Source organism: Homo sapiens, chromosome 8, assembly GCF_000001405.40.
Source record: "Homo sapiens chromosome 8, GRCh38.p14 Primary Assembly".
Taxonomy (NCBI): domain Eukaryota; kingdom Metazoa; phylum Chordata; class Mammalia; order Primates; family Hominidae; genus Homo; species Homo sapiens.
The window spans coordinates 9,671,553-9,694,710 of record NC_000008.11 but is presented as its reverse complement, the minus strand read 5'-3'; the positions used below and the strand labels follow the sequence as shown (position 1 = coordinate 9,694,710).

At 35.1% G+C, this 23,158-nt stretch overlaps 1 protein-coding gene across 3 annotated transcripts in view; it reads right to left on the bottom strand.

The window, feature by feature from the left end:
* TNKS (tankyrase) overlaps positions 1-23,158 on the bottom strand; it is a 226,435-nt gene that overhangs the window by 87,636 nt on the left and 115,641 nt on the right. For all 3 annotated transcript variants that reach the window (NM_003747.3, XM_011543845.4, XM_011543846.4), the window contains exons 4-5: positions 14,724-14,760; positions 13,911-13,986 (exon numbers count right to left, since the gene is read on the bottom strand). In NM_003747.3, coding sequence (NP_003738.2) covers positions 13,911-13,986; positions 14,724-14,760 — 113 coding nt within the window. The remainder of the gene's footprint in view (positions 1-13,910; positions 13,987-14,723; positions 14,761-23,158) is intronic.

Below are 23,158 nucleotides of genomic sequence, written 5' to 3'. Positions count from 1 at the left end.
GGCTCACTGCAGCCTCCGCCTCCTAAGTTCAAGCAATTCTCCTGCCTCAGCCTCCCAAGCAGCTGGGACTACAGGCGCCCACCACCACACCCGGCTAATTTTTGTATTTTTAGTAGAGGCGGAGTTTCACCATGTTGGTCAGGCTGGTCGTGAACTCCTGACCTCAAGTGATCCACCTGCCTTGGCCTCCCAAAGTGCTGGGATTACAGGTGTGAGCCACCATGCCGGGCCTGGACAATACTTTTTGAAAGAAAAAAGACTGGTCCTGAAAACACTTGCCACGATCTTTTACTCTTACACATGTTCCAAAATAATAGTTATTTACTTGTGTATCTGTCTCCTAACTCACTGTGAGTTCACTGAGAAAAGAGAACATTCCTTAATTTTATGTTTTAAAGGCTTAACAAAGCACCTTACATATAATAGGGTATTTTTTAAAAAAAAGAATGAATGAGAGTTATTGTCAGCTTTTGATTTACATTTCTAAAGGTCAAGAGAGGACAAGGATAATCCGACATGGTGAATTTAAATTTGTGTGACAAATTTACACTGACACTTCAATACAAGCATGTGTGATGTTCGATGCATTTCCTAAGGAAGAATAAAATCACAACTGTGAAGCTGTAAGTCCTCAGAGAGCCCTCTAAACTGTGACATACAGTGTATTTTGTTTTTCTGTAAGATGAAGAACCAGTTTGGCCTAGACCAACTCCTTTGGGACTTTCTAGATTACCATGACTGACTTGTCCTGATTTGCCCAGTACTTTCCTGATCCTAGGAAACCCATTGATCTCAGCAAACTAAGACGGTTGGTCACCCTACCTTAGCCAGGCAATGTAAATCAGTTTCTTTGTTTCTGGATCTGTCCAGAATGAGAAAATTGTGTGTGCGTGTGCATATGCTATCAGGTGACATATTGTACTCTACTTTTAGTAGTAAGATTGTTCAATGTACCATCAGTTTTGTAATCAGTTTTCTTAAGTACTACCTCTCTGAACTCATGTGTTCTACATATCATCCTTGTAATTTTTTTTAACTTCCTGCATCTTTCTGTGTCCAGGTCTGGCTTCACAAATAAAGTATTGTATATGTATTTTCTCAGTTTAACCAGTCTCAATATCAGTTACTTTACATTTATTCACCATCCTCTCCCCAATAACTCCTTTTTAAATTATAAAATTACCACATTCCCTCTAAAAATTCAAACAGTAGAGAAAATACTATAATATAAACGTTTATTATTTTTTCCCTCCAGCCAAACAAGCCCTCTTCCCAAATGTAATCACTATTTACAGTTGCACAATGATCATTTCAGATATTTTTCCATGTATATGAACATGTATTTGTTTTCTCTCTGAGTTCTTTTTGTTGCTGTTTTTTCCCACACAAATAGGAATGTTATTATATTCTTCTATGATTAGCTTCTTTCCTCTTAATATTAGTACATATCTGTCTGTCTTATTCTTTGTAAGAGCTGTACAGTATTTCCATTGTGTGGCTGTACCATAATTATTTAGTAATGTTCTACTTTTGCTCTGTCTTATCAAAACATATTTCATTTGATCTATCATTTGGTTAAGATCAATAAGTTTCCCTTCTAAAAATAAAATATTACATTAGCCATTAAAATGGAATTCTTAGGAAAATACAATAAACACATAATTAGCTTTATTAAATTTCTATCAGGCACAGAGACATGATTAATCTGCTAAGAAACTAAGAAGCAACGAGCTTAGTAGCTCTTTGAGAGAGTGATATTTAGATGAGAACCCTAAACAAATTAACAGCTAGAGAATCGATATAGGCATGAGTCCATGGAAATAAATATATTTCATTGCTAATGCTGTCTTTCAAAGGGATTTTTAAGTAGTACCATAATGAAGATCAGGCACTCTCATTGAAGTTACTTAACTTTTGGAACACTAGAATGATAATTTAAAAGAGAAACCTTGTGGAAAATAAATATTGATTAACGAGGTGAGATGAAAGGAAAAAAGCTGTTTTATTCACTTCTTTATCAAAAAGTATGACTCCTCCAATTTGTCTCTTCTGCAGATGACATGACTAGATTCTCTAATAGCCGTATGTTTTCTCTCCCATTACGAGTCTTTCTCTCTGGTCCTGGACCTCTTGGTCAGCGGTTCTTTCAAGCACTGTTCTTAGAGCTAAACGCATCTAACGACAGATATAGTCTCATCACAGTGGATCATGGCATGATACTACTCCTAAAACCTAAGGCTGTTTAACATATTAATGTCTTTAATTCACGGTTTTTGTAATGGGGGAGATGGGTGACAACAGTGCTGACTTCCTCACAAAGTTGTCTTCTGGTTAAAATGACACAGAACCTTTACAGCGACATGGATGCAGCTGGAAGCCATTATCCTAAGTGAACTAATGCAGGAACAACAAACCAAACACAGGTTCTCACTTATAAGAGGGAGCTAAACAGTGAATACACCTGAACACAACGATGGGAAAACAGGCACCGGGGACTGCTTGAGAGGGGAGTTGGCCGGATGGCTACCCGTTGGGTATTATGCTCACTACCTTGGTGATGGGATCATTCGTAAGCCAAGCCTCAGTAACGCACAATTTACCCAAGCAACAAACCTGTAAATGTACCCACTCCTGAACCTAAAATAAAAGTAGGGGGGACAACAAGAATCAGAGGAAGGGACAGGAGGAACAAGATAGAAAAAAAAGACATGTAGGATGCAACCAAATTTTTTATATCTGAGATGCTGTAAAATGAACAACAATAATTCATTAGCTGGAGTGTGGCTCTCTATATATCAAATAAATTATTTTGACTTTGATAAAAGATCTTCAATCTGTACTGAGTCTAAGCCAGTGTCCAGTGCAAGATGTAGAAAATAGAAAACATAAGCAATGACTAAATAAAATAAAATGACATAGCATATACAAAAAATTTTAAATACCAATATTTTATTAAAAATAACAGCTAAAATTTGGGCATTTTCTATGTACTAAGCACTTTTCTAAGTGCATTATATGTATTAACTTGTTTATACAGCAACTACCTTAGCTAGAAACACTATTACTTCCACACAACAAATGAGGGAACTAAGGAACAGGGTGATTAACACGGCAAGTTAAAAGCAGAGTCAGGAGTCAAATCCAGGCAGTCTGACTTAGAAACTCTCATTCTGCATTTCTAATTTTCCTTTGTGTGGGGGCTCAGGTTCTAGATAGGATGTTCAGAAATGGACTAATATAGCTGAGGGGCAAGAATTACTCTTGGCAGGCAGGGATCTCCTTGGTTCTGACAACTTTAGCATTCTGATCCATAGGTCAGTAGACATTAAACTCTATCAATAATGACAGTGTGACTGTTCCATTGGATAAGCGCCCCAGAAATGTGGAACTCCTTCATAACAGAAGCTGCCTAAAAATAGTTTAATATAGCAGGACAAAAAAAGAATAACAATATTGAAATTGGAAAGAATAATTGATTCTGCCTCCTTCCCAGTGCAGGATTTTTCTAGATATCTCTAACAGACAGTCACTTGGTCTCTTCTTGAACTAAACTCCCCTGCAGTTACTTCAACTGCTTATTAGAGAAGAATTTTCTGACTACCTTCTTGGTTACACTCTGGTTGGTCAATATCCCTTCTTAAAATGTGACACCCTAAATTGAGCACTAAATCCAAATATGGTCTGATCTAAACAAGCGAGCTCTCTCTCTCTTAAGCAGAACCTGTCAGAGCTGTCATAGCGAAGGTTCTAACACTGCATTGGGAGGTTGAACTAGTTGCCATTAAGTCCCCATCCAAGTAAGATTCTATGAATCCTAGATAGATTACATGAACAGAGATAAAATAGCAATTGATATTTCATAGCCTCAGAAAGGATGTTCTTCCAAAGTAATGGAAGTACTCATCTTTAGGAAGGCATTTTAACAGCTAAAGAATTTATGAAATATAAAACAAGGTTTCTGTAATTCAAGTTGCCACAAATAGTAAACATTATTTATTTATTTATTTATTTACTTACTTACATTTATTCCCAGGTTCAAATGATTCTCCTGCCTCAGCCTCCCGTGTAGCTAGGATTATAGGTGCCTGCCACCCAGCTAATTTTTACATTTTTAGTAGAAGCAGGGTTTTACCATGTTGGCCAGGCTGGTCTCAAACTCCTGAACTCAAATGATCCACCCGCCTCGGTCTCCCAAAGTGCTGGGATTACAGGCGTGAGCCACCATGCTTGGCCAAAAATTTATTTTTAAAGTGAGAATATAAAGGACTATCTTTATTTTAAATGTATGTATTAAGAAGAGAAAGAGAAGGGAAGGGAGAAGAGCAGATAAGATTGAACAAGAAATCCATAGGGTAATCTCTGTGAGAATAAAGCTCTGAATGCCAACTTAATTCAATTTTAACGTCACATTATCATTGTGGAATCTTCAAGGGGATTTTTCAGCGGCCAGCAATTTGTGTTTCTCTTTTCCAGCCTCAGAATCAGCAGAAGAATTAAAACGTGTGGTGAAAATGAGTTTCTAGCATGCTCTCACAAGATTTGTGTGAACAAAAATGCTGAGTACTCTCAAGGTGCAACATTAGGTTTTCATCATCGAATGAGAAATAGCTGGTAGATTTTATGAAAAGAAAAAAATCAAAGGTTTCTTGGTCTGATGTAACTTGATGTTTCACACTTCATGAAAGGAGAAAAATTTTCACACTACCCAAACTGCACATAAATTCCTTTTTGTAACTAATATTTTCAATCTTAGGTTTTCATATCTAAGCATCAAAGATTCTACGTAATGGACAACAGATAGAGGTCTTCTGGAAAGAAGAAACCACTTGCACTGATCGGCATTTAATAATTACATAGGAGGGAATCGGTCCACCTTAGATCATTAGATAGTCATTTTAACTGCAAACTGGGAAAGTGACAAATTCCTTCAGCTGATTTTAATGTGGCTAAGAGCTCTAGGATTCTGCAGATATGCTGTCACCTCAAAGTTCCTTAAGTGATAAAGTCTTTGTTGTTTCTGCATTTCTATAATGAATGTGGCAGCCAAAAACAGCCAGGAGCAGAGACGTCTAGTTCTGTTCCCTGCCCACAGCCTTCTCTCCCAATTCTAATGGGTATTGAACACTGTCTGAAAGTAGATTATTTTATGGAGCATTTTTATAATATTCAAAAGTAGGGTATTATGTTACTATTAACAAATTAAAGCATTTTTTTTATAAAATCAAAATATAAAACATTTTATATTTAGAATTGGTCTGTTTCCAAATTTACCAGTTTAGTTATCCAAATATGCATTTCAAGTGATTATGCATAGTATTTACAGTGCTTTCTTGAAGCTTTACTCTTGATGGCATTCTTAGTAGAGAAAAACATTTCTTTAAATTAGTCACTGAAAACATTCTTTTAAAAGGCAGAATAATATGAAGATTTTTGATACTTCTAGAAATTTGTTTTCATAACACAATCCTAATTTAACTGAATGAGATGAGTGAATGGATTAATATGCATATGTGTGAGACAGAGAAGCAAGCTTGAGTGATAATCTCTTTAATAAAAGGAAAAAAAGGCAGTGATAAAGAAAAAATAACCAGGTTTATTGACTGAATGCTTAGTATTCCCCTAAAATTTATGTTGAAGCCCCAACCCCCAATATGATAGCATTTGGAGACAGGGTCTTTGTGAGGTAATATGGTTTGGATGAGGTCATAAGGGTGGGAACCTCATGATAAGATTAGTGCCCTTCTAAGTACAGACATGAAAAAACTTGCTGGGCCGGGAACAGTGGCTCACGCCTGTAATCCCAGTACTTTGGGAGGCCGAGGTGGGTGGATCACCTGAGGTCAGGACTTCCAGCCCAGCTTGACCAACATAGTGAAACGCCATCTCTACTAAAAATACAAAAAATTAGCTGGGTATGGTGGCGGGCACCTGTAATCTCAGCTACTCAGGAGGCTGAGGCAGGAGAATCGCTAGAACCCAGGAGGCGGAGCTTGCAGTGAGCTGAGATTGTGCCACTGCACTCCAGCCTGGGCGACAGTGCAAGACTCTGTCTCAAAAGAAAAAAAGAAAAGAAAAGAAAAAAAACTTGCTCACCAGAAACAGACCATCTGACCATGCTGGAACCTAAACCTTGGACTTCCCAGCCTTTAGAACTGTGAGAAATAAATTTCTGTTGTTGAAGCTACCCTGTCAATGGTATGGCAATCCTAGCTGACTAAGACACTAGAAATGGTATACAATGAATTAAGAAATAGTTTACATTGGTTTTATATTGTGGCCAAACAATTGTTTTAATAATGTCAATTCAAAGTTACAGATAATTTCAGAATTCTTAAATCCATAATTAACTCATCACTTTCTTTTTGCCATTTCTCATCAGGCTGGAAGAATTTCCTGAAATCAGACTTCTGTTTGCACCTAAACAAGCCTTTTTTTACACAATATAGTCTTTTACTTAAATAACTTTTTGTAGAATACTCTACTGTCAAATGATATTAACTGAACAGTCTGTTCAAACCAAAGGGTACTCAAATCATAATCATTACAGAGATATTTTAAAATATCTTTATCATGTAATATTTAATCCATAGAAACATGTAAGTTATAAAGCATATATTAAAACATCATCCAGCATCCATTCAGTTGGAGAAATGGGACATCGGCAATACCACAGAAGCTGTCTTGTGTGTTTCTTCCTGCTCTTTTTCCTTTGCCCCTCTGTGACATGGGTGTTTTTCCAGCTACTGCTGTAGTTGTAATCCACTCTACTAATGTAAAGTTCGGTTTACTTGTAAAGGCAGAAAGAACACTTTAAACTTCGATTCTAACAATTTTAAAAACAGATGCTGAAGTATCATATTTGTAATTTGGCTTCTAAATTTTTAATAATGACTCACACTCACGGCCAAAGGATTTAGTACCAACTCCCTTCCGGTCCCTTGAGCAGTCTAAAGTGGAAAACAGCAGGAAACTTGTGCTTCTGGATAGGAAGGCAGGACAATTCAAAGCTAGGAGAGTGGCTAAATAGAGGTAAATGGACAACTAAGTTTTATCATCTTGCTGCTTTTTAGCACTGTGGTCGGTCCCCTTCTACTAAAAATTCATTTCTCCAGCAGAGAAAACAGCGCACTTGGCATTGGTACTAATTACCCTTACCAGTAGAAATGTCATGCTTGACAAAATAGAGATTGTTTTCGTAGAAGCAATTCCCTAATGAAAAATAAAAAAGACATTTTCAAGTCCTCATTGGTACAAAATGAATATACATAAGCATAAAGATTTTATACAATATATCCCAACATAAGGAGGCAAGAAAACTTGCTCTAAGGGATTTTGGCACTACAGTAAGATATGCATTGCTCAGCAAGACGTACTCCGAAGAAGTGACTTGATTAGATATATAATTGAACCTGAAGTATTTGAAGAGTTCCCTAATGCAGACTTACTGCATTTTGACCTTCTTGTAATCCCAAGTAGCATCTGAGCTAGGATCCATAAAAGTTGGAAATTTAAAACTGGTATGACCTTTTATCTACCAAGATTTGGCAAGAATGGAGGGTGATAAAGGTCACTATAGGCCATAGAGAGCCAGATATGTACCCCCAGGTAATGCTAACACTTCCTTTCTTAAAGGGGAAAAGGGCTCTACATAAACTTCACTGCAGATGCCATCAGTGTTCTATCCAGTGTGAGGATACAGTCACTTAGGAAATTCAATTCTGCATTATGGGTAATTGCTACTAACTCTGCTGAAAAATAAGTAACAAAATATATTATAATCTTGAAATGTTAGAGTCGAAAGGTACTTTAGAGCTCACATGGCCCAAATTCTTCATTTTTTTTAGGCTAAAAAAATTGAGAACTCAGAGATATGATAAAATTTGCCATGAACACATGGCTAATAACAGCTGAAACTTAAAATCAGATCTTCTAGCTTCAAGTTCCTGCTTTTTCCCACAATACCATGACCCCAAAAGATGCACATAAAATTATGTTTTTGCATTTCAAGGGGGAAAATACTTAAATTGTAAGATATAAATTCAAAAGAACTGAACATATCTAAAGACGTAAATACATTTGGGAAGATATTTTAAAATCCTCACTTATTCTTCCAAGTAACTATCAACGAATCATTTTCAGTAATAAAGCTGAAAAAAAGATGGAATCTTTCTTGCCCAATAGATAATAAGCATTGAGTTATATTTTCTTTTAATCAGGTATTTCAGTTATCTATTACTACATAACAAACCACCCCAACAGCAGTGAATTACCTGGGCAGGTCTTCAGCTCTATGTGGTATGAGCTACGGTGCTAGGATGGCTGATGTCACCCTAAAGATGGATCGGGAACTCAGATGGGGTTAAATTGTCTGGGACGTGTGAATAGTTAGAATCATTAAGAAGCTTCCATACGAACTCAGGTGGGTCTGTTGGCTAGGGGCCTCAGTTCTTCATGTGGACCTCGTCACATGGCTGCTTGGGCTGCCTTATGACATGGCAGCTGGGTTCCAAGAAGAATTACAAAAAAAGAAACTAGCAGCTGCCAGGCCAACTCAGGGGCGTGTCCTGAATAGGACAGAGTATCACTTGCGCCTTATTTTATTCAAAGCAGTCCCAGGCTAAGCCCAGAGTCAGTGTGGCAGGGGGCTAGACAAGGGCATGAGTAATAAAAGGGACGGTTTATTGAGGCATCTCCAAATAACAACCTACCACATAAAGACTGTTAAAATCCTGGCCAAACACAGTATTTGGAAAAAAGTTATACTGAGAGACGGGGGTACTGATCAAGAATAATGAGAAACTCTACAACCCTAAAACTTAAATGTAGATACAAAGAATTACACTAATCCTCCATCTTTCTTGTTCTTCACTGGATGGGGTTTATGGAATTCCATATATGGCATTATTTTCAGCCAGATATTAATTTTTAATCAACACGTGTTTAAAAATGGGCATATATCTCAAGAATGTATTTCTGAATTTATAAGCTGCTAATTTAGACAAATTTATTTATTAAATGTGACACTGGGTGAAGAGAGGGGAAGGCCAAGCTCCAACTGAATTAATTAAATTATATGCTTTATAGATTACAAGACAATCTATAGGTTATTTTATCCAAAGGCAGCTGGGACAGAGCTTGGACAATAAGGACATTTAAGTGGAGAGAAGGGGAACACTGGAGTACTTAAAAGTATGTAAGTGTCCATTCTAGATACATTTGAAAGTTTCAGAAAAAATTATCAAAGGAGTAGGAATCTAATTTTCTAAAGGTTACTGTGTGCTACAAACTGTACTAGGTATACTGACCACATTATTTCACTTAATCCTCTCAAATGCCTTGTGGAAAGGGTATGGTTATTTCCATTTGAGAGTGAGTAAATTAAAAACTCTAGAGCCATAGACACACACTTGGAAAGCAGAATAGAACCCAATCCCTCTGACCTTACAGTCTATTTGCCCTATCACAGTTTTTCTATGGTGTCTTCAAGGTACAGCACTAAATTCACTAAATTCTACTTTATTTCTGATTGATTTCCTTTTGAAAGTAGTTTTCAAACACTTTACTTTTCTCTGTTTCCAGTCATCTTCATTATTAACTATTTGGAAGCAAATATTTACAGAAAGTTGACACTTAAAGAAATCCTTAAGTTTTCTGAATTAAAATCATGTTCCTCCAATTACCTGCTCATCTAAATTTGTGGTTTCTTACAGAAGGGTATACTAAATACTAAAGCGTTAAAACTAAAAGGGCCAGGAAAAAACACTGTCACCTTAAATCAGCACTTTATAACTGTATCACCGCAAAAGGAATACTGTATCATTTTAATGCATTAGCTTCAATGTCTTCCATAATGTCTTAATCATTCTACCAATGTTTGAGCTCCCCGTTAACCAGTACCATCAACCATATAGTTATCTCCCATGACACTAAGCACAGTGACCCACACATGGTAGGTATTAAGTGTTGGTGGAATGAATGAATGAAAGGAGCAGAGGGAAACCTGAAATACTCAAAATTACATTGGAGATGTTATTTTAAAAGCACCTATCAAATATTAGTTACTTTTAATTGGTGACATATACTAGTAGCAACAGTAGGCAGAGTAGATATATTCAAAGATACATATTATTTCTATTTGGAAATATGTGCAATAGTCCCTAACCCCTACCTATTGCCTATTAAGATGAGGAATGGATAATTTTGGACATTTATTTTGGAAGGGGATAAAGACACCTAGAAAAGGAGAATAACACAGAGAGGAACCACAAAGAACTCTCAAAAGAGTTGACTGTTGGACTAATTTTATTCAAATATTTATTTTCATTTATTATAAAAGGTATCCTTACGAAAATTAACACTGGAAAACAAGAGAATATTACCACCTTAAATTTAGATATCAAACAAGGCCAGAACATGTGGATAATAGCTAATAAAACATCTGATACTGATATAAAACACTGTAAAGGGAGATTAAAGATCAAAAAATCCAAGTTTGAAAATAAAGGAATAAAGAATTCTAGAAAGGCAACAACCTATTTTCAGGTTCTGGTTCACCTAATGGCAATAATGAATTGTGGACTGTTATGACTAATCATACTGGGCAGAAGGTAGAAGATGACTAAATAACATCTATGTCCCTATGTTTCTAAAAGTGGTCATCATTATAACACGTATATAATTGCATAAAAGTATCATTTTAGAGCAACAACAAAAGGTAGCATTTTAGAACAAAAAAAAATTCTGCTTTTAGGGAAAAAAAAAGCCAATAAAATTTCTAGTGTAGCCAGGAGCCAATTTTGATTTATGTGTAAAATAAAAGCATAGTAACAATATAAACTGTATAAAACCTTATTGATGTTTTATAATTTTCAGAATTCTAAAGGTTAGGAAAACAATTGTCTTTGGGAAACAAAATATTAACTTCTCACATATTACCTAATTAGATAATCATCAAGTCACAGTATAGAATTAAGAGTACTTAAAATTTACACTCTCATTGTATAATCCCACATATTACATTAAAAAAAAACCTAAAGTCTCAAACCCCCACATATCTCTAGGCAAATTCCCCACCTACTAACCACTGTATAAGAGACATTTCTTTTCCAAAAACATTTCAAAATTAACATTTTCATGGGCTTTTTAAATTTACAAACCAGGAACTGTAGTAAAAACTAAGAAAAGGGCTCAGTTAAGCAATAATACAGTAATTTAGGAAACTTCCAAAAAAGGATTCGCTTCTACGCTGTGTTCTAAAATGAAATTCAGGAAATAAACTTTATATGCCTGATTTACTACATATGAAAAAGTACCTTTATCATCTCATTAATACACAATCTGACTTTCTAATTCTAAATAAACACATAGAAATGTTCTAAAAAAGGACTACATATCTACTAGGACAGATACTTGTAATTTTAGCAGCTAGATTTGTTTTCTTGATAACAACAGGAAGAAAATAAAAACAAACTGACATAACCAAGGGATCTTGTCCCAATCTCCATTAGCACCCAGAACATTTAACACCCTGTGGCTTTACTGCAACTGGTACATTTAATAAGAATTACTCTGTGCCGTAAATGAGAATAATATCTAAATAGGAATTATTCAATTCAAACCACACAGATGAGCAATTGTTAATTATTTCTTATATGCATAGCACTAAAACCTAATAAATGCTTAAGTTTAATTTTTTCTATCTAATTTAATTTGAAAAAAACCCTGATAATCTAAAAAAGTATGAGTACATTTTGGAACATTATTGCATTATTTATATTTTAGGAATCTTTTGGTACAATAATAATGCTTGAGGTACGTTCTTAAAAATGTTCTATACATTATAAATTATACGGTTCTCCCTCATGTTAACAGTACCCCAAAATAAATTAATATAATAATATTAGTAATAATAACAAAAAACATAAAATATCGCATTCACATACTTCTGATTTAATTTTCTAAATGGCAAAGGGTAGATGTTTTTCTCACTCAGAGGATAAAATTATGTTTATCAAGGAACAACAAAGTTCTATTCTAAGCTTCTGCTATATGCAAAGTGCCAGCCTTGGTCCTGGTGCAAAATACAAGAAGAGCTAGTAGAGGAGTAAAAGAAAAAGATATTTATGAACTTTAAGGAACTCTAAGTGCCACAGAGTAATATAGAAAAGGAGCCACAAGAATTTGGATGAGGAATACATTGGTTCTAGTTAAAGGAAGTATATTCTCCTTTAAGGAAAAGGAAAAATAAATGAGTTCTATACATTTGTGTAGGAGATGAAGCAGGGAGAAGAGAGAATTTGTTAAATATCAGGGATCATGTTCCTTAATTATTATGATTTATTGCACTAGGAATGTGGCTGTCAAAGTAGAAGGGTAAGGAAGGGAAAACGAGGCTGTGACAGAAATCGACTCCGGCTGTAGAAATCTCACATAAGTTCTGTAGTATTAAAACAGTTATAGAAAAGTGACGTAGGCCGGGCGAAACAAGCTCTGTCTAAAAAACAGCTGCATTTAACCACAGATAAGAAGGCCCTTTTCTACACAGTGATAGAAATCACTTTATCTACTTGGAGAATCCAAATAAAATCTGGAGTTTCAAGTGCACACAAGAGTGTGAAATTCCCTAAAGCAACTTCAAAACTGAAGGAAAAATGAACAGTTACCATTTAAAAACACTTCCCAAGAGTAACTAATAGTGCTGAGTAAATCTTTGCTAGTTTATGGCTTGATATGTGTAATTTAACCTTCTATGAAAGTAGAAGTCTCTCCCCAAATTACCCAGAGAAACAAAATACTCACTGGGCCATGTAACGATATATAAGCTATCTACAAAAACAAATGAACGTAAATTATATTCCGAGGGACTCAATTCCTTGCCACTATTTTTGGATTTCATTAAAATAGAGAAAAAGTGGGGAAGCTTGCAAAAATCTGATCTGCAAAATTATCACTCACAGAAAAGTAATTTTTTAAAAGCAAAATAATTTATTATTTCTAAGGGGTACCATCCATCCTGATATTTGCCGTAACATTTTCACTGTAAATAATTTCAAAAGAATTCATTTCTAAATATCAGACATACAATTTTCCTCAATTTTTGTAATGTGTCTTTAAAAATGTTTTAGGTTTTTAGTTAACATTAAAAAATTAACTCTCATTTAAAAAAAAACCAACTTTATGGTACAGAGTGCATTGGTTTTCAATGTCTATTACGTAAATCACTACAAAACTCTGCAATTACCAAAGCCATAAAGGATTACATTTCAGTCTATCTTCAGCAAGAATACAAAGTAGATAATGAAGCTGCCAGCTGTATATTTTATATATTACCTTACATTTATGGCAACTGCATATTAATATAGAATATTCCTCTCTGTTTTAATCTATTTTCTTTCAATATTCCACAACTAAAACTTAGCCAGTACAAATAATAATAAAAGAGCAGAGCTGTTACATAGATGTAAAAAAATCATTAACAGCAATTTCTCAGCTTTAATGGAAAAAGTGTTGGTATCTAGCAAACAAATCTTCTTCTGCCAAATAAGAAATCAAAAACACAAATGTCTTAACAAAGATGGGTAAATAGGACACTCATATTTCCAGTTTCCATTATCATACCCAGAAAAGAGCATATGCTGTAATTTTAATCACCGACAAAACTGCAGTTTCATGTAACAAATAACTTGCTGTGTCTGACATTTAAGAGAAAAGGCTTACTTAAGATCCATGCTTCACCAGTTCTATGAATGTGTCACAACTGCCAATAACAGATATAGTAGCATTTCATTTACAGTGAAAAGATGCCAGTTAAAATAAAGCCATGTAGGTATACGTGCTTATATATATATATGCCACATTCACAAAATTTTGAAGCATTGCAATTAAAGAGGATTGTATTTAAAATAACTTACCTTTCGCCCATCACTTGCATGGCAATTCACATTTAGAGGAGTCAGTAAAGCCATTAGTTTTTCTTCATTACCACTCCTATAAAAAGGTAGTAAGTCAATTCCTCTAAAATTACAAAGCTTCTTATGAATATTTATGCATAATTTTTTCACACGAGAGTAAAATATGGGTTTGCTTTGATTTCTTTTACATGGATCACAATAAATCTCTTTTGCAATATTCAATTCAATTAATATATTTCTAATTAATTCCTGTTAATTACCCTATAGTGGTATATCTTAAATAACATAGCTTTCTACATTTTTGTTTTATTTATCTACATAAAGTCATCTTCTTAATTACAAACAAACTTTATTCTGATAAATAGACTAAAACGTTGGAGTTAAAAATACATACAAAATGCTGTAAAGAGCTAATCAATTAAATTATAAACGACCAAGAACACAAAAAAAATAGATGAGGATTTTAACATTTACTTTTTGCTCTTCATTCAAGCTTTGCTAGAAAAATCTTCAGATGAAAATGAAGATATAGGTATTTAAATACTCCAAGAATATCGCTGGAAAAGCTGGGCAACTAGGGTTTACAGGTACCTTAGGAAATGTTCCAAATAAAATTAACCTTATAATCATCACCACATGAAAAGATTTTATTATATACAATAATGATATAAAGTACATAAAGATTTAGTATCTGCATAATTGCATAAAATCCAAGCAAGACAATAACGTTATATTTTTTATAGTCCTCCACCTGCCCTCCTCCTTCTCTTCCTTAATGCATTATATACACTTAAAATGAATGGAATCACTTACCTAGCAGCTTCTAGGAGTTCGTCTTTCTTGTATTCACCTAGATGATTGCAAAATATCATGCTGTTAGCATTTGGCAGAAGACAGATTAAGAAATGCAGTAGGCAGCAAATAGAGAATTAAATAGAGAAGAACAGAAAAAGAGAGTCCACACCCCGCTGGGTGATGGAGCCGTGACGTTAGCCAGCTTGTGAAGGCAGCATCACCAGTGCCTTGGAGACGGGCAGCAAATTGACGCAGCTTCTTGTCCAATCCTCAGATGAAATAGCTTTCTTCAGACAACCAATGAATGCTAAATCTCGTGTCCAGAAACACATTCCCTCTGATAACAGCATGCCAGCTGAAGACAATGTCCCCTCCCCCCTTTTCTCTATTCAGGCTGTCACAGTATACTTGGGAAGCATAATACATTCTGAGACAAAAGCAAAATAATGTGGCTCTTTAAAGGTACAAATTACTAGTCTTCTAAAAACTGAAGTTTTATTGGTAATGACATGGAAAGTTAAAAAAAAAACATTAATTACTATTGTTGAGCTTTATAGCAGTAGAAAATGCAAATATCAGAACCACGAAGGCTTTGACTCGATAGGCAAGGTCTGTAGACTAGAAATACGTGAACTACGTACCAAATGCCATGAACCTCTTGGAGGCGGTGCTCCAAAAACCAAAACAGTGAATACATTCTTAAATGGCAATAATATTCTGACATGCTGTAATCTTAATACTTCATATAAATTCAATACCAATTTTAACATATAATAAATCTTAAAATATTTTTTAAAAGGAGGTTGGGGTCTTTGAGAATGAGCAGATATCTAACTACTGCGACATGGGTAATTTTCCCCCATTCTATTTTATCACAAGATTTTAAAAATATATCAAATGATGAAAATAGAAATATAATTAAAAACCATCCATAATACATTTCTTAGGGTATTCAAGATCTAACAAACAAATTTCTTTTGCAAGCTCAATTGAAGGACAAGGAATGTTAATAATACAGTGTTTGTTCCTTCAGTAAATAAAAAGAACAGCCAGGACTATGATTCAGCTGTAATACACTGACTTAGTTTGCTACATCACTAAAGAAATAATTATACAAAGTATCTCAACAAATAATTACATGAAAGCAAATACTAAGTGCTCATATAATAAAACATTAGACTAAATGAAAATGTTATTCTATTATGAAATAATATTAAGTAACTTTTAAAAAATCTTATGTGTAAATATGGACTTCGCATTTTGTTTTGCTAAAGAATGCAGAATATTGATGCAAATATTACAAAGACATCTCAAGGCTACCAAATACATACTTAAATGCTATAACCCATTATTAGCAAATATTCTTTAGCTTTAATTTTGTCTTGCCTCCTGGATTAAGATTAGGTTAAAATCTGAAAACTATAACCAGGTATTTTCAAAGTAAAAAGTTGTTAAATACCTATTTTCTCTTAAAAGAACTTTGTATACCAATAAAGTTATAAGTTTAAGAATATAAGCTAGAATATATGATTTCATGGTCATAGAGTTGGTCTTTCTAATTTCCCATAAATTGTATTTCAGATTTTTTAGCCAACTGACAGAGTAAAGGTCATTTCATTATATCCTCCATCTATTTAAGTTCCTGCCTTCCCAAAGCCCAAGACCTACCTTTGTTAAACATTTTAGGTAGCAATATGGAAGTTAGAGAGTCAACTTTAAAAGCTCCTTGTGAGGAAAATGGCATAACCCATGCCCCCAAATGTCTACAGAACCAGGATCAAAGTAAATCAAATTACGCAATGTATCTATAAAATGTATTAATTTCGTAGAGTCACATTTCTTCAATAGGCCTGTATGCCAGATTTTAACGCGAAAGACACTATCATCTCTGACCTCAAGGAATATTATTCTATTAAAGGAGACAGACAAATAAATAAATGATTACAGTAAAGAAATTGTATGAAATGTTAGAGAGCTTACCAGCCAGTGTAAATGGGATTAATGATTGGAAGGGTAGTTGGGGGTCAAGGAAGCCTTCCTGGAAGAGGGGAAACTTGAGCAGTTTTGAAGGAAGGACAAGTAATCCTCAGGTGAAGCAGGGTCAGGGAGAAGGAAGCTACCACAGTGAAAGAAAGGAGAAGGGGAATGGTTGTAAGTAGCTCTGTGTATCTGAAGCAAAGGACACTCACAGGGGAATGGGTATGGACGAGACAGAGAAGAAATGGAAACATCATGAATGTCTCTCTAAGCTAAGAAGTTTGAACTTTACTTTGAAAGTAATGAGAAAATACTGCAATATTTTAACAAGGGTAGTGCAAAGTATACTTAAAAAGCTGCAAGTTTTGTGATTACATAAAATACTTCCATACTGTACTTCAGCAAACTTTTGTTGGAGAGGAAGGTGGGCAAAAAAAAAAGTAAATTCTGACAGTCTACATTTTAAAGTATAAATTCCCTGATAGACAGTAAAAACACATTAAAACTGTGAACTTAAAAGTAGCTACTATTGAAATTTAAGTCGTAGTGAAACATGACTCCAATAAGAGTGGTAATAAAACCGCAAAGTATTTAGGAACCTCAAAGTTCAAATCAGTCTCTCCCTACCTGAACTTCTCATCAAGCATAGTTTATTGATGTTTTCACCAAAAGGCACATTTTTGCAAAAATGCTATTCCTTCCCGGATAAGCTGATAATAAACCAAAGCTTTCAAAAGGAAATATATTAAGTGCATCCAACAGAGTCAGACACAGGTATTACAAATGACTTTCTACTCTTCCTGCTAGAGATCCTAGTACTTTAATCAGCTTTTCTGCAATACATTCTAGCATCCACTATCTGGTGCCCAAGGACCACAATCCATAAACAGCTGAAGCGATTTTTCAAACGCTAGCTCCCAGGAACAGCTAACATAATGAATTTAGAGCCCCTCACACTCTGATAACAAATCTGAGCTACTTACTTAACAGCCAAAGCACCAGTTCTCTTTCATCTTAGCTGAGAATCTGAAAATATTCTGGCTGAGACTATGGTGCTCTATGGAGCATTTATATTCTTTAATAACATCCAGATAAAGACTAGTAATAGATCAGCCAGAAAGGAAACTAGGCAATTATAGTCAAGATAATAGCAACCAGGAATGAAGAAAATAGATGGCTTAAAACATTTTCTATTAAAATAAAAGTAAATGGAATTTTTGAAAGTAAGCCAAAAAGTTTACTTTCCAAAATCTAAATTGTTTTTACTGGTAAAATAGTAATGATATGAAAGAAGCAAAGATACATACACACACACAAACACACACACACACACACACACACAGAGAGAGAGAGAGGGAGAAATACGAGGCTTATGTGTTAAAGAGCTATGTTATTAAAACAAAGCTGAAAAATAAAGCTCTTTTTATTTTTCTGGAGTAGTCAGAAACAGCTTCTCTTTCACTTAGTGTAAAGGCAAAATTACTTTTTGAGTAAAAATGAAGAAAACTTAAATCACTAAGGAGAAGTCATGATTACTGACTTATCTCAATTTTAACATTGTAAGTGCTTTTGCCCCTTCAGAAACTGACAGGATGAAGGTAGACTTAGTTTTGTAAAAATAAGTCATTTGGTTTTGTTGAGATGGAATAGCATGGAAAGACTATGAACATAGAACCACAAATTCTTAAAGCAATGAGAGGCTAAAAAAGAATTCTGGGCCAGGCATGGTGGCTCACACCTGTAATCCCAACACACTGGGAGGCCAAAGCAGGTGGATCACCTGAGGTCAGGAGTTCGAGACTAGCCTGGCCAACATGGTGAAACCCCATCTCTACTAAAAACACAAAAAATTAGCCAGGCATGGTGGTGGATGCTGTAATTCCAGCTACTCAGGAGGCTGAGGCAGGAGAATCTCTTGAATCCGGGAGGCAGAGGTTGCAGTGAGCTGAGATTGTGCCATTGCACTCCAGCCTGGGCAACAAGAGAGAAACTCTATCTCAAAAAAAAAAAAAAAAAAAAAAATTCTGACTTTTCTCTTTCAACCATTATGCATGGTATCCAAACCTATCAGTAACACTTTGCATTATATAAAAGTAGAGGAATGTCATTTGAAAGTCACCCTTTCTCCGTGTCACCTCAACCCCAATTTCAGAACCACTCTCCTAAGGGATCATCTGAAATTGGTGTCAAGGCAGTTAAACAGATTGTCTTAGGTTTCACTAAGTATTATCCATTATCTGTCAGGCCCTGCACTAGGCTAAAATGTGAGCACAAACTAACAAATCTGAGTTCTGGAAAAAGACATGTAAGCAAAAGGAGAGAGTAACAAATAGTAATAACAATCAAACAACTTAAAAAATAATGACAATTATTAGCTTTAACTAGGTTAATCACATCAATATAACAAGCAAAAAATGTTCATCAAAACTACTTTAAAGCATTTAAATTTACAGATGAGCTTGCAAGCAAAGGCTATTGGGCCAAGGGAATTTCAGGAATAAAGAAAATTCACTGAGGTCTATTCCAATGATGAATCCATTTTGCATTTTCCATAGCATACCTTAATTTCTGAACTTATCAAGCATCTCAAGGGAAGAAGTATGTAAAGACTTCAGTCTAGAATCTCAATTCTCAGGTTAATGTGGGGACTCTTATATTCCAGAGTGCTAAGTAGTACCATGAATTGATAACACTGATATAGATGTTTTCTCATCAAGGTACCAGCAAATTAAGAGATGAATTGATTCTTGTAGCTAAACTGACAACCTATATGAAGAATAAAATATTAATTTAGGTTATATATTCCATCATGTTTTCACTAGTAGATTTGAAAATTAAAAACCAGCTATGTGGCTGTGGAAGGAATTCAGCTAAAGCACCAGGAAGTAATCTAATCTCAAGAATTAGAGTTAGGTCTTCCTCTCAAAGCAATATTCAGACAGACTGATACTCTGCTATACTTAAACATGGGCTCCAGACACACCTGTATTATTTTGCTCCAGGATCTTTCAAAAATATATTCAGAACAACTGGGGTAAATTACAAAGTTATCACAGCTCTCAATGCCTTCTTTGTACTTTTTAATCCCATCAGATATTTCTACTCATTATGATACTGGCTTCAAAGTCCATACCACCAATTAAGTCTAGAATCATGGCCAATCTAAACACTGAACATCCATTCTAAACACAGTTGTTTGTTGTCCTTAAATTCTAAGTTTGAACAGAGTATTTTCCTGGTAGAGACCCTTTCCTTGTCTCCTGGAACCTTGACCTTTTAAACTAGCTAACATCACTCTGCTTAGTACCAACATAATCTCTACATTGTCCAATATTTTAGCCACTCCCCTCAACACTTACAATTAAATTATATAAAAATAAAAATTCTGTTCATCAGTCACACCAGCCATATTTCAGGTATTCAGTAGGCACAGGTAACTAGCTAGTACCTCTATACTGAACATTGCAGAGAGACCATTCACCAGAAGAGCTGAAACTTCTATTGGACCACGAAACTTTGCAGTGTTTTTAATGAGCATATAAGAAGTTACCTTTTACCCTAATAACCATTTTCCATATTCTTTACTCTTAAAATTATCACTACCAAAACATAAGCTTTTTTTTTCCTTACTGAACACCAAACAACTACTTCATTACCATGAAACATGTGAAATAAAAAATGCTGGACTGAATAACAGATCTAGAATGAGTTCTAGCTCTGCCACTAGTTTACTTGTGTGACCTTGGGTAAACCACTTCATGCTTCACAGAACCTTCATTTTACTGTCATCTGGAAAATGAACAGGTTAAACGATTTCTAAAGTTTCAACTCTTAAACTTCCATCCTGTATTTGATTCTTAGTATTGGTAAGCAGTTTTTCTAAGATGGTTTTAATGTTGCTTTAAACAGACTTAAAACAAAACAAAGTTATTTGAGAAAAAACACTCTACTAAATTGTTATAAAAAGTAGTACCTGAAAATTGTAGAGTAAGCAGTTAAACAATTTTACCCAACCTGTACTATCTACTTGGTTAACAATTCTAAACTTTTGGTAATGTTTTAACTAGAAGGTAAATAAAAACCAGCTCTTTCAAAAGAAAGTTACTTTTTCAATAATTCTAATCTTTATAGACTTGTTACAACATTTTTTTAAAAGAAAAAAAGCTCACCAAAGTATGGAACTAGAGACAAACTACGAAGTTATTATTTGAGAAGCTTTCCAATTCTTTAGGAAAACGGAAATGAACCCCCCGACCCCTGCATAGCAGCTGTGAAAAAAAATTCCAGGCCGGGTGCGGTGGCTCACACCTGTAATCCCAGCGCCTTGGAGGCCCAGAAGGGTGGATCACGAGGTCAGGAGTTCAATACCAGCCTGGTCAAGATGGTGAAACCTCCTCTCTACTAAAAACACAAAAAAATTAGCTGGGCGTGGTGGCACGTGCCTGTAATCCCATCTATTCGGGAGGCTGAGACAGAGAATTTCTTAAACCTGGGAGGCAGAGGTTGCAGTGAGCTGAGATCGCACCACTGCACTCCAGCCTGGGCAACAGAGCAAGACTCCTGCTCAAAAAAAAAAAAAAAAAAAATCCAAAAGGTAAAAGGCCCCAAATACAACTCTATTATCCTATATTAAAATTTTTATGTCATAATTTTATGTCATAAAATTTATATATTATTTTCATGTCTTAAAAATTGTAATATATTAAATGTCAACACAAAAACCTCAATCAATGTCCTAAAACATTTCAAAAACACAATATAACACTCATATAATAAAAGCTTTGTAAAAGCTTTATGCAGGAGGCAGTAATATGACCTCTCTTAGTACGAGTAACATCTAAGATACACATCCCATTTCCTGACACTTAGCAGGGTTTCCAATCATTTGTACTTGTTTCTGATGTGGTGTCAATTGTAGCCATCAATAGGTGTCTCAATAAATACACATCGGCCAAAAAAAGAGGGTATTATCAAATACATACATTCTTTAAATTGGATATTAAAAGGTAAAAGAGGTGTTCCTCTAGAAGCTGTTAACCAGTGGGACTTTCTGCAAAGTGTGCCGGTACTTTAAAAGAAAACAGCCTTTGTGACCACAGTACACATGAAAGAACTTTTTGATATATTAAAAAGAAAACAAAAAAGGAGGAAAGGAAGACGGAAGGAGGGAGGGAACTCTCTAAGCATGGCAGGTTATGATGCTATGTGTTCAGTCTGGGAGCTCAGGACAACCACTATTATTTAAGCCATCAACTATCTGTGTTAATGGCAGCTAGGGGCTGGGGGAAGTGGGATATTAGTTTGTTTTTTTTTTTTTGTGTGTGTGTGTGTGTGTGTGTGTGTGTGTATGTGTTTTTTTTTTTTTTTTTTTTTTACCATCACAGTGTCTGCTGCATAAAAAGTGATTTAAATCAGGAAAAGTAAATTCCCTATTTGATCCAAAACAACTTGGCAATAGTTTTTACATTTTGTTCTATATCACAGGTCCTTTTTCTACAGCCATCAATTCACACTCCCTTGTTTGCAAATCTGAAACCCAAAAAGCTCTAAAAACTCAGATGGCAGCAAAACTTGACCCATTTAGTGTACACAGCTACACAGCACAGCTGTCATATATTTCACTACAAAAATATCACTGTTACATAGTACAGCCCCAGTCTCCACGGGGGGTGTTTTGTAATATATGGTAGATGTACAGTAGCCCCCATTATTCACAGGGGATACATTCCAAGGTCCCCCATTATGTAAGTGGATGCCTAAAACTGCGGACGGTACCTACCCTATATATGTTTTTTCCAATAATACATACCCCTTATAAATTTTAATTTATAAACTAGGCATAGTAAGAGATTAAGAATAATCTCTAATAAAACAGAACAATTGGAACAATATGCCAATATCACTACTCTTGTGCTTCTGGGTCACTATGAGGTAAAGTAAGGATTACTTGCACACAAGTGCTGCAATAGCAGGACGCTGATCTGATCACTGAGATGGCTACGAAGTGCCTAACGGGCAGAGAGTGTAGACAGCATGGATCTATGGACAAAGGGAAGGTTCACGCCCTGGGCAGAATACAGCAGGTCTGTGTGAGATTTCATCACCATACTCAGAGCATCATGCCATATAAAACTTATAAATTGTTTATTTCAGGAATTTTCCACTTAATATTTTGAGAGGCAGTTGACCACAGGTCACTGAAACCTTGAAAAGTGAAACTGTGGATAAGGGGTGACTACTATTAAACTGTGTCTTTTCTTATTCATTTTTCGAAGTATAATTTACATATAGTTAAATTCACCTTTTCAGATGGTTCTGTGGGTTTTGAAAAACTTATACAGCTGTGTGAACACTACACTTCAAGACAGGAAACATTTCTATCACACCAAAAAGTCAGGCCCCTCTGAAATCAATCGCCTACTCCAATCCCCCTCCCTCCATGGTAACCATGGATATGATTTCTGTCCCCAGTTTTA